The sequence below is a fragment of the Homo sapiens genome, chromosome 4, assembly GCF_000001405.40.
Source record: "Homo sapiens chromosome 4, GRCh38.p14 Primary Assembly".
In the NCBI taxonomy this organism is placed as follows: domain Eukaryota; kingdom Metazoa; phylum Chordata; class Mammalia; order Primates; family Hominidae; genus Homo; species Homo sapiens.
Genome location: NC_000004.12, coordinates 129,778,610 through 129,792,243, shown reverse-complemented (window position 1 = coordinate 129,792,243; position 13,634 = coordinate 129,778,610). Strand labels below are relative to the sequence as shown.

At 35.9% G+C, this 13,634-nt stretch overlaps 1 long non-coding RNA gene across 1 annotated transcript in view; it reads right to left on the bottom strand.

Annotated features, from left to right (window-relative positions):
- The window catches only part of LINC02465 (long intergenic non-protein coding RNA 2465), a 183,750-nt gene that overhangs the window by 163,125 nt on the left and 6,991 nt on the right, over window positions 1-13,634 (bottom strand). The window contains exon 2 of the long non-coding RNA NR_151713.1: window positions 12,145-12,234. This is a non-coding gene — a long non-coding RNA (long intergenic non-protein coding RNA 2465). The remainder of the gene's footprint in view (window positions 1-12,144; window positions 12,235-13,634) is intronic.

Here is a 13,634-nt window from a genome sequence, read left to right as displayed (position 1 = left end):
TTTCAGGCAGGGCACCACTTAGCCTTGTAAATTGGCTATTCCCTATTAAAGGTGGCAGGGAGGCAAGATTTATGAAAGCGATTACTTAACTGCATGGACAGAATCTATTTTCAGAGTTGCAGTAGAATCATGTGAGCCACCTGAGCCAGATGTAAAACCTCAGTGGCTTGACCACCCTAAAGGTGGATCCAAAATAGGGCCTAAAAGGAAACATTTCAATATTTAAATGAATGATACAGGGTCACGGGAACATACCAGTGGTGTCTCAGCCCTGTTTAAATCCCCAGTATCCGGAGTAATGCCTGGTGCATTGAATGTATGCTGTGACTGCATGTTAAATTGTGTCAGTTTGGAAGAGTGCAATGAAATCCCTCAAACCACAAATAACTTTATTTTTAAAGTTGAAACAATTATACCTGCCTTATAGGCTTAATAGAGTTATTGTGAGTAAAAATTGAGTGAATGAAGTCGAAAGAGGACCACAGAAAATAAAGTAAGGTATACATGTACACTTGGAGAGAGAGAGAGAGAGAGAGAGAGAGAGAGGAACTAAAGCATCCAGCCTGTAATCAAGTCACACACATTACCAGACTGACCTTCTTTATTTCAGAGAAGGAAAGAAAACAAGTGACCTTGTTTAATCTCCTTGTCACCTGCACCTGTAGGTAAAGACAAAAATAATATTTTCTAGAAGAAATAGTCCTTTTATATAGAATGCCATTAGCAAAATATTTCTGATTGAGGGTTATTTTTAGTAAATAAAATCAAGATCTACAGATTGGAGGCTTGGCTTCCTAGAGAATGTCATGCAAGCTATACAACTCCCTGGTGTACAGAATGGAAATAATATTCCTCATGCTTATAATACATAATTTAAATACTCTTTCTGCAATGCGACATAATAACTCTAAAAAACCTGACTTATGTATCTCCTCTATTATTCTGGGCAAAGATGTGTGTCTGGTGTGAGAAGGAAAGAACAGAGGAAAGGCTCTTCCTGTCCCATAGCCCTCTTTTCTTCATCTGAACCTCCTTATTGTCTGTATCCTTGAAATCCTTAGTAATGTTCAATACAGGATATAATATTGGATTTGCTTGAGCAGGATTTATTAATCCAATTCTAGAACCAATGGTATATCAAAAGTGCCCTTTCCCCCATTTTCCCTACGCTCACAGAAACACATGGGATAGGAAAATGGTTAAAATGGAAACTAAGCTCTGTCAGTTCCTCTGTGCCTACTGGGGGTGAATTTTGCAATACTGTCTTAGGATTAACAAAGTCCATTAATATGTATGAATACATATTTAGATATTAAAAAGTCAACTGACAAAAAGTAAATGGTAGAAAGAAGAACTTTCTTAAAAAACAAAGTAATAAATTGAGTTTGCTGGAATGGAGGTGCCTGGAGAAGGAGAGAAATAAATTGGGAGTGCAGCATAGTTGGCATAATATATTTACCTCACCAAACCTTCATTAGAGTCTGAAACACATAAAACGCTTTCTGTAGACAATTTCAATGGGAAATAGTGATAATAGTAAAAAAGCTATACTTTATATCTGTCTGAAATGGTCCCCAGAAGAATGGTAAGATGATCCAACATGAACTAACTGGTTGGAATTAGGAGTTTATAAACGAAGATGTAAAGAAAAGAATGGAGAAGGAAAAGTCACCATTATTCTTCCACAGAAACTTCACAAAGACTGCAGAAATTCAGGGGTTTAACAGTCTGTGTGATGGACTTTCAATTTACAAGGATAGAAAATTTCAGCTGATACCTATGACAGTTGTAACAGGCAATTCACGTGTAATGTCACATTGCATGTTTTCTAAATACAAAAGTTTGAGACAATGGTTTAGAACCTGTACCTTTAAAAAGACACACCTGATTCGCCCATCAGGATGGTGAAAAAACACAAATATTATGATAGATTTATCTATATAATTACATAAAGTTAAGAACTTCTTCAGAAGAATGTGTTACTGTGTCATACAATTTTATAGTTTCTATTTCTTCAGGTATCATATTTGCTTTTTTACTTTACTAATCCTAAATTGAACATATCCTAATTCTTAAAATTAATTCTAAAAGTAATGAAATTAGTCATATTTAGTAGCCTACCTATCTACTACTTTAAGAAAATATCCCAAAATTTAGTGGTTTGGAATAACTACCTTCTAATATATTTTATAATTTTGTGAAATAGCAAATAATGCAGGCTCATTCTGGACAATTATTAGCTCCATATTACATGACATGAATACTTGGTAGTAGCCATAGATAGCTGAGGTGGTCTGCTGGATCCAAGACAGCTTTATTCCCATGTTTGGGATCTTGGCAGAGCTGGATTCTACTGGGCTCACTATTTTATTTTGTAATCTCAGGGCCTCTCCACCACGTGGTTTATTCAGGAGGATAGTTGGACTCATACTACAGCTTAGGGCCTTAAGAGCAAGGGTCATAACAGACAAAAAGTGGATGCTATTAGCCTCTTAATGCTGTGGCCCAGAAACTGGCATGGAATTATTGCAGCTATATTCATAAGGCACTCACAGAGCTCACCAAGATTCAAGTGAAGAGGAACTTGAACTCTTCTCTCAATTGAATGAATATTAAACCTTTGTGATCATTATTAATCTACCGCATAATTCAATCTAAAATTGTAATAGTGCAGTCCATTTAATTTGTAATGATTAGTTTTATATGTATAGTATTTTAATGTTTTATTATTCCATCCTATAATAACTGATTGAAAGAGGTTCATCTATAAGATAAAACAAATCTATTCTTATTTATCTTCTTAACTCTCTTAACTCAGGCAATGCATAATCTTTTAAAAAGTGTTCTCTTTTTCTTTAAAAAATACCTAAGCATTTCTATGAGATGAAAGTTGACACGTCTATAGTTCTTTGTTTGGATTTTGAGTTGCATAGGGAAGAATAAGGCACATTTTCTTTTGTCAGGTAAAAGCTGCAGAAGATGAATTATGTTGATTCATAATAGACATGTCATTTCTAACCTTCCAGTCTTTGCAATCTGAAAAACACATTCCACTAGTCATGAACATCCTCTTGACTGTACATATGCTCCACCTTAACCTTGTATCTCCTCCAGGTATTTCCATGCTGATTTGTTCTGGTCTGACATCTCCTTTGTGTGCCAGGATTTAAGTTAACCTTTTATGCTTTTATAACAGATGCTATATACGCTGTAGTCAGGCATTTGGTTAATTGCTTCTCTGATGGAGAGACCATCTTCAGTTGCAAAGGATTTAAAAAGATTCAGGAAATCAACAATAGGTAAATTATGAGAGGATCAGAGAGTCTTCCCTGCTAGAAAAAAAAAAAAGTAAATGTTAAAAGCTTGATCTGATCCTCATGCTCATGCATATTTCTGAAATAAGATTTGTCAACGGCAAATGCAACGTAGCTCAAATTTGATATTAGTGACTTTGTCTATTTTGTATGCTGAAGCCCTAAAGCAGCAGAACTGACTGCCAAGTATTGATGTAAGTGTATTGACAAAACAGAAGGCTTCACAGTGAGGACATTCTCTCATAAGGCTCCACACAGTGACTCTGTAATTACAGCTTCAGTCTCTGCGTATCACATCTCTGGTCCACTGAACTGTTGGACTTGATTTCACCTCTCACCCCCTTCTAACAATGAACAACCATCAAAAAAATGACAGAGGGAGGAAAATGACCTAAGTACTATAGCTAATAACAAATTACCTAAAACAAATATTCTTTCTGAGATGTGGAAGTTAAGGTTTATCAAAGAATCAGAAATAATAGATACCCTGTGCATCGTATCTTTTGCTAAATTCCACTTTAGTAGTGTGTACAACTCTGCTGTGATTTCTTAGAAAATAACATACTACAGAGGGAATCTCCTCTCAATAATGCATTAGAAAAAATAAACCTTGTTCCTAAGTGAACTGTGAATTATTTCACACCAGAAGAAATACTGATCATCATAACAGATTCACAGTTTTTATGACCTGCTGAAGAGGCTAAAATCAACACTGAGATTTTTGTCATATTTGCGTAACCAATATGCATGCCCTATAGGAGATGGTGTTGGTAACATAGAACAGTGCTCTCTATGGTAGGGTCTATTTGTCCTGTGGGCTGAACTAGACAACCATTTGAGATACAAGCAGGAAACATTAGCACTTCTAATTACAATTATTTTTAATTCATACTTTTAAAGTTTTATGTATATTTCATAATATACATAGTATTTTTTTATTTTTATAGAATTGTACACATACATATTTTATAAAGTAGATTTTAAGTATATATATGATGCAAGAGCATGCTCAAAATATTTTTAACCCATGTGGTACATGATATAAAATGTTTTGTGAACACTAGTCTCTAATAGTGAAATTATTCACAGGGTAATCATGGTTTTTTGATATTAGCAAGAATACCATAAGGAGTAGTAGAATAGTAAGAATGTAATCTTTGAAAATTAGCCAGTCTAGAATAAGAATTCCATTTACATCTTTTTAAAGAAAATATGATCTTAAACCAGTTGTAATATATCTAAAAATCAAGATAATAATAAACCTCAAAGAGATGTTGTCAGGATAAAATAAAACCAAACAAATGGTATTAATTAGTACAATGATTAATATACACAAGTGCTCTATAAATGTTAGTTCTGCTCTACCTCTTCCCTCTCCTAGCTTCCTTTGGCCTTTGTGTATCATTTTGTATTCATGGCTATATTCTATGTTATAAGGCTCCACACAGTGGAACCTTAATCTCTCTCACTACTAAATAGAGATATCCTGTAGGTTTATTTCGTTAGTTGTTTTATATGTAATTTAACCTTTATTTAAACAGAAATAGATTATGCCAAGAAAAACTTTTAATATTTTAAGGCAACTAATGTTGGATGAAGTAGAAAAATGGTATTATTTTTCTCTTGACCATCATTTCTTTCTTAACTCTCTCTTGTTTCCACTCAGCCACATTCTGCTTTCCACCTAATAGATGAGTTCCCCTCCACCTGGAAAGAAGGGTACAATACTAGACCTCATTCCTCATCATTTCTCAGTTTTGCCCTCTTTCTGGTGGGAAACTCCTGCCTTGCTCCACTTCTCACCTTGTGAGAGAGTTCATATTGGCTTAAGCCCCAAACATCTCTCTCACTGGGGCAGAATTTTTTTCTCAATCACTTCACCTCAAATCTTACCTTGAAAACGTTACCTTTTTATATTAAAAAAATCAAACAAAAACCCTCTTTTAACATGGGATTGTGCTTTCCACTTATTTCATTTTATTTATCCCCAGGATTTGGATCCTTCCTCTAATCTTCCCATCCAAACAACCCCTTGCTAACACACACAAACTAGTAGCAATAACAAACATGAAGGCTCAGTTTTAAACTATGCCCCAAAGATTTAAATATGAGCAGCAACATAAAACTATTTTCTTTCCTTCATGCTGCTGAGTTATCATCTCATTATTATTGCTTGAAAAACAAACACATGAGCCCTACAGCAAGACATATAACAAGTAAGAAAGCATAATCAATGAGATTCTAACATGTACTTTATCAAATTATAATAGAAAACCAAAATGGAGAATACAAGAAAGGGGAAATAAACCAAGACATGCTGCAAATAAAACCTGAGAGGATGGAGATCCAAGAAATGGACACCTTTTGAGTCTCATCCAGGAAAAAGTTTTATTATCTGCAAAGATGAGAAAATCAGTCGTCTCCAAAATGGTAGATGTTGGAAGGTCATATGGATGAAGCCATAATTAACTAATTTATTATTCTAAAATATATTTCTCTCATTGGAGATAGTCAAGTAATTGACTCAAGTTAATGTTTCTACTTTCAGTGCCTCTTTTTTATGTGTCTTTACATAAAGTCATATTAAATAGTAGAAATAAAATAATTATGCAAATAATTCATTGATAAAAATCCTTCATTGGTGCACACTAAATTAGGAGGAGCTGAATGATCCAATTTTAGCTATACATATTGGTAAGGTCCACCCCAAGCTGGTAATATTTTACCTTGTGTAATTTCATAGCTAAATACGAGACTGCTTATCCTTCTCCAGTGTCTAAATTGTAACAGGTGGGTATGGTCCAGTGCAGGGAATGACAAAATGCTATGAGCTATGCAGAATTTCAGATAGGTGGGAAAATAAGGGGTAAATCCCTATTCAGTTTTTTCTCTGTCACTTAGGTCTAGCTGCCTGAGACACATATTTAGCCTCATCAGTGATAATAATAATAAAAGAAGGCCACCACAATGTGTTCAATTCTAATGGCATAAGTTTGGAGCTGTTCTCATACCATAAATCTACCATTGTAGTGTAGTTTGGTGATTAAGACTGCAGGCTCTGGAGATCGACCGTGGGCCTTTCTAGCTCTGTGACATAATGAAACTAACTTCTCTCAGGAATTTGTATGGAGTTTAAGTGGATTAATACAGTGGAACACTTAGAACAGTGTCATCTATGTTCAGAAAATTGCTATTCTTTTTATACTATCTTGTACTAAAGATGGCACTATTTATAGGACACTTCTGTCTAAAAACCCAGAAGCTACCACATCCCAGGACTGATGCCCTCACATTGATGCGGTGGATTCAAAATAAATATTAGGTTACAAGTACATTGAGTTTAGATAATCAGGCATAGGGTGATGAGAAGTTCCAAAATATTCTTAGGACCTATTAAATAAATTAGAAAATAACACTTTAAAATCAGTTTAACATTCTTAGAAATCATCACTCAATAAAAAGGCTTGTAATATTATAATAGGATGATGATATATCTGTGCCTACCCCAGGATGACTAAGATGCTTCAAGGAGATAGTCATGATCTATAGAATATAGGTGCACCAAGGTGAGCTATGAAGTTATTAGTTATAATCTCCTTAAAACAGAAAGTTTCTATAACGTACAAAATATAGAAGAAAGGAGACTAAGCAAAATAATTTTTCAGTTTACTTTGCACTTGTTCCAGTGAGAAGGGTTCCCTGAGCAGCAAGTAGGAATATTCCCAAGCACTTAGCCATTACATCTCCATTTTTTATGATTAAGATTATTTCACTATCTTTACTCTGTCTAGTCATGCATATACACCAAGAAATCCATCTAGGAGATTGTGAAATAATCTTTTTGAAATGTCAATTTAATCCTGACATTGTTCCTCTTAAATTGTTTACTATGTCCCCAAGTTGATGGTTTCAAAAATGAGGATCACACATTCCTCAGGGACAGAAAAGAGAAGAACTAAGAAAGAAAAGTAGGATAAGTAGGGAAAAAAGAGGGTGAGAATCAGGATTGACCAACAGCACTACATTAGAAGACGGGACAAAGCAAGACCAGCAGGGTAGATGAAGAAGGAGAAACCAGGGAGGAAAAAGAAAACGAATGTTCTGTCCTTGAAGCCAAAATAAGAAAGAGTATTAAAGAGGAGGGGTAGGTAAATATGCCTCCTTCTGCTGAGAGTTTGAATGGGATAAGAATAGTGACATGGCCACTGGTTTTGACACACGGAGATTGTTATGACATCAAGAGTAGGGTGAAGGGATTTGAGTAGATAAGAAAAGAATGACAGAAGAAACAGTAGAAATGGTTGTAGAAGTATGAACAAGTTTAGTGGAGAGATGGAAGAGTAGGCTGGGCACGCTTGTAATCCTAGCACTTTGGGAGGCCGAGGCGGGTGGATCATCTAAGGTCAGGAGTTCGAGACCAGCTTGGCCAACATGGTCAAACCCAGTCTCTACTAAAAACACAAAAATTAGCTGCGCGTGGTGGGGGGCACCTGTAATCCCAGCTAGTAGGGAGGCTGAGGCAGGAGAATTGCTTGAACCCAGGAGGCAGAGATTGCAGTTAGCCATGATGGCACCATTGCTCTCCAGCCTGGGAGACAAAGGGAGACTCTGAAAGAAAAAGAAAGAAAAATAAAAGAAATGGGAGAGTACTTGAAGAAGTACATGGGTCAACGGAGGGTATTTTGACATCAATTCTAAGCTCTATGGATTTTTATTTTGTTCACTACTTAATACCCAGTGCCTAGTACAGTGTGTGGCACACACAGTTGCATAATGATGGATGGAATCCAGAGCAGAGAGAAATTTATAGCCAGAGAGCTGAGCAACAGCTCTCCACAGCCATACCCATCATGCAGGGATCTCTTGCCTTGAATGAGTGCCATGCCATTGCACAGGTACAGAAACCAGAGAGTACAGGATTGCCTAATTCTTTTCTTCAACTAGCTAATTCTACTTACTTTTGATCCCACTTTGTTTCACCCCCTCAGGGAAGCTTTTCCAGATCCCTATTCAGATTTGGAATTGTCTTCTCTTCACACCGCTATAATTGTTATTTTTATTTGGCTGTCTTTCCAACTAGTCAATAAGCTCTTTGACGGTGGAGACTATTCCCTGTTTGATTTTTCATCTCAGTGTCTGGCACAATGTCTGGTATAAATCAGACGTCAATACACATTTGATGAATAAATAATACATGACATTCCTACTGGGAATACAACGTGCTTTTCAGTCAGCACAGATATCTAGTCTTCTTGGTATTTCTTTTCTATTTCTCATTACACAGTAATCCATGACTGTATATTCATACGCAGGTTTATTAGTTTCTTGTGAGTTGGTGAGCAAGATCCAATTCCTTATAGCCTTTTAAAAGGACTAATTTGCTTTTTGTGATTATGCCAATTTAGGAAGTAAGAGCTTAATCCTTAAGAGGCAGAGGGCTAGTTGCCTTCACTCTGCATCAACTTAACTAGTGTAAATAAGAAAAGAAATAATGATGGTGTCATCATACAAGTATTGTGTGATAATTTTTTCTATTTTCTTATGAGTGACTTGGCCCCTTAGAATTAAAATATTAAATTACATTCTGATTACATTGCATATTGTCACATAGTCTTCCTTTTAGCTACCATAAAAAAAAACAAACCATGAGACAATAGGCACTGTCACAATTTTTACTTAACTATTTTTTTATTTAATGTCCAGATTAGACTTTTCCTAATTGAATAATAATAAAAAGCCTTTGATGGTGAATTCTCATCTTTATTCTTTATTGTTATAGAAATTATCACTATACGAATTAACTATAATTTCTTTTAACTTTTATTCTAATATCCCATGGCTTCAAGAAGCTACCCTGTTTTGAAATATTAATGCTTTTGGTAACTATATTTCTCCAGTCTTTCATTTCTATTAATATTCAACATGAAGTAGGATGCCTTTAAATACCAATAACTGTCCCAGTTCATCCATAATTCATAAATCCCTTTTTAACATGTAATTCATAGATATGGGTATTGCCCACTGACTCTGGAATTAAAGTGAGATAGAACACTGGCAAGCATCACTGGAAAAATAACTGTCAGTTTCTGCAACCTTATAAAAATCAGCTGGTTAGTTGAAGTTCAAATTAGCTCCTTGTCAAGGAGGAAAAGCTATTAGAGGCACCCCATGGATCCAAATTTTATTTTATTTATTTTATTTACATTTTAACAACATTTGATGAGATAAAGCTCTTCAAAAATACTGTATCATTTGCAAGATGAGTTGCTGAATCTTGACAAGGAAGTAGTCCTAACCACGACAAATGCCATTCTCAAAAATGAATTTTAAAAATATTTACAACTGTCAATCAAAAAATATGGCTCTGTTTATACAAATAAGACTATATTTTAAAGTGGAGAAACAATGCATGAGTGAAATATTATGCCTTCTATTGAATTAATCAATGAATAGTGAAAAAGATAACAGATTTATCTTTAAGGGCTTTGATGATTTAATTTAAGGTCTAAGATGTTTTATAAAGCTTTATTTAATTATACTAATAATGAACAAAGTTTTATTACAATGCATATTTTAAAAACATTTTACTCCTAGAGATGCCTCAAATAATTTAATCTGCCTTCCGTATTGCACAATACAATGGCCCCAGGTCCTGATGCAGAGCTACAAAATCTTATGGGTGATGGGAGCATCTTTTTTTAAATGAAGCAACTCTTGACAGCCTACTGGATAGTTTCAGGATGGAGATTTGTCACCAGTAAGACCAAGCCATGATTAGAAGTTTAGAACTTTTAACCCCACCCCCATCTTCCAGGAAGGGAAGAGGAGCTGGAGATTGAGTTGATAATCAATCATGTCTATATGATGATAAAAACCACTAAAAGATGGTTTGGGAAACTTCCAGGCTTGTGAACACATCCATGTGCTGAGAGGGTGGTGCACCACAACCCCATTGGGAGAGGGGTTCCTGCATGTAGGACCCTTCCAAACTCTGCCCTGTGTGGCTCCTCATCTGGCTATTCTTCTGGATCCTTTGTAATATCCTTTATAATAAACTGGTAAATGTAGGTAAGTGTTTCCCTGAGTTCTGTGAGCCATTCTAGCAAAATGATCAACCTGAGGAGTGGGTTGTGAGAACATCTGATTCATAGTCAGATGGTCAGATAAACTGGTGACAACGTGGACTTGTGACTTGTGTCTGAAGTAGGGTGCAGCTTTGAGGAACTGAGCCCTTAACCTGAGGGGTCTGTACAAAGTCCAGGTAGATGGTGTCAGAAGGAAATTGAGTTACAGGGCCTCCAGCTGGTTTTGGAGAATTGGTTGGTATGGAACTACTACTCACCACCTCCCTGCTCGCCCCCACCCTGCCACATCTGGCATCAGAAGTAAAGTGTTCTGGAAGTATTGAATACTGTAAGAACATAGAAGATGACAGCAATTATTTTTTTCTACACAGTTATTGGCTATCTATGTTCTAATGTACTTACCCTTCTCACAATGACTACCACGCTGCCCAACAGGCAAACATGGTAACCTTTAAAATTGAGCTCCAGCATCACCTCCTATTTGAAGGTATTTTTATGTATTGCTGCTGTCCCCACAAGAGAGCTATGCAGCTTGTCCTCTGTTGGTCCTCTGTACTCTGTTCAAACTCTGTCATAGTGTTTTCACCACTGCCCCATCCTGAATTTGTTTACCTTTCTGTCTTGACCAGTTAAGTGGGAATTTCTTGATAGCAAAGATGACTCTTTTACATTGAAATAGGGGAATTTTGGAGAGAATGTTAATTTTTAAATGAGAGATGGATTTAGAGTAATCAGGTTGATTTTGAGAATGAAAAGGGAAGTGCAAAATCTATAAGAATGCTATCTCTGAAAACTAAAGTTCCAACAGAGTTACAGCCATAATATACAATTATATCCAAGTTATATAGAATAAAATATCTTGATTTAAGTTACATAAATATAAAATTAATGGCTAAATTTTTGACATAGAATCAGGTTACATTAAAAACATATATACCAGACATATCCCAAAGTAATCTTAAGGTTTCCATTTGAATTTCAAGAATGCATTCTTCCCTTAGATTCTGTCATACAGGTAACATTAACAAATAATAACCTAGTAATTAACTCATCAAATTGTGAATATTGAAAGTTGTATGACTTAAGAAACTGATCAAAAGTGGTAGAAAAAAAATTTATCAACCCAAAACCTCAACTAATGGTTTACAATGTATGCTCTGTATACCTATAAAAAATGTACAAAAGTTTTGAATATTTTAGCAATGATCTTCTCTTCCCCATCCCAAGCCTGTGCTGTAATTAATACATATTGAGGTTAAATCATATCATCAATACCGAAGTCCTTGAACATAATTGATAGGACAGCATTGAAGTAATGTTCACCCAGTACAAAATTTCTGGTCCAGTAGAGGGCATTGAAAGAATAATAATGACATGCCCAGATCATGGAAAGGAAGAGAGCCAAAATTAGGTAATTGAGAAGAGGTCGAAATCAATATTGAAATTTACTCTTAAGAAATGTGGCACAAAGGTGAGAGGAAACCTTGCCACAATTTGCAGCATCACTTGTCACATACACACACACCACTGGATTTGTGTATTTATGAGTTATACAGATATTTTTCAAAAGCATATGAACAAGTTAATGTAGTCAAAGAAAAGCCAGATGCCTACCCACTGAGAGACTTCACAGAGTGACATTAACTTGGTAATTTTACCATGTCCAGAGGTTGATTGTGAATTTTGCTGAAACTAGAGCTCCAGTGTCCCTAAAGCTGAGTTTAACTCTTGAAAATTATACTCACACATGACAGAAGATAGATGGAACACTAGCTGATCTCAACTGCTAGACCAGTGTACACGCCTTTCAGGTAGTCTTCTCTTAGGAGTGCATCCTGAAAATAAAGGAATCAAAATAAAGTTAGTTATATAATTCAGATGTTCTGTTACATTATCTTCTATGATATGTGAGGATATGTGATATGTGATGTGCTTATCCTTCTCACAATGACTACCATGTGAGCTGTGAGTTGGTACATCTGACTCCACTACAAGGATATGCAAGTGGACACAAGACCTCATTAATTAACTAGGCGTTTTTTCTCTCTCTACTTGAGAACTTATTTTTGCCCTTTTCCCTCTTTGATTAAGACTTATCTCTAACATGAGAACCATTCTGCCTCTGCTCTTATTCAACCTGAGTTTTCCTCTTCCAAGTTTTTGGAGAAAAGAGGACAGGTGGAACTTACCATTACACATGTTCCACCTATGTTTCATAATGTTCCTTACTCTTAAGTCAGGCCACTTTCAGATTCATGATTGGTGTTGGTAAACAGAAACAGAGGGAAATTTTGCAGTCTTCTCTACAGCGTTTTGGGAACCTCTACGTTTCTACTGCTATTGCCAAAGATAGTCTGAACATCCTTATATATGACATTGATCTGATTAGTTTTCTGTATTTTTTAAATATGATTACGAGGGGCAGGAGAAATGGGAAGTTGTTGTTTAATGGGTACAGAGTTTCTGTTTGAAATCATGAAAAATTCTGGAAGTGGAGAGTGGTACTGGTTGTACAAAATTATGAATGTACTTATTTAATGTCACTAAATTGTACATTTAAAAATGATTGAAAGGTCTGTTGGACAAGAAGTTGTTGTAAAAAGAAAAAAAATTTTTGGTAATGATTGCAAGGCACACACACACACACACACACACACACACACACACACACACACACACAATGTAAGTGGTTTGTTACCAGCCCAGATTGGTTCCACTAAAGTATCTTCTGGCCAGATGTGGTGGCTCACACCTGTAATCCTATTGCTTTGGGAGTCCAAGTCAGGAGGATCACTAAGGCCAGGAGTTTGAGACCAGGCTGGGCAACATAGCAAGACCCCCATTTCTACAAACAATTTTTGTGTTTTAGAGACAAGGTCTCACTCTGTCACTCAGGCTGGAGTGCAGTGGTATGACATGGCTCATTGCAGCCTCAATTTCCTGGGTCAAGCAGTCCTCCCACCTCAGCCCCCTAAGTAGCTGGGACTACATGCACACAACCTATGGTATTGGTATTGGTATGGTATATGGTATTGGTATTGGTATATGGTATATGGTATTATGGTATAATATCATACATATATAGTATTATAAGGCCAATGTTGCCAGCAGAATCAAAACCTCAAACAGGTAATAAATGAGAACAACATCTACAATAAAATCCATGTTCTGAGCTCAGTTCTGTGTTTTTCAAAGTGGCTGCAGGTCACAGTGAGACTTGCTCTTCATGAGCAAA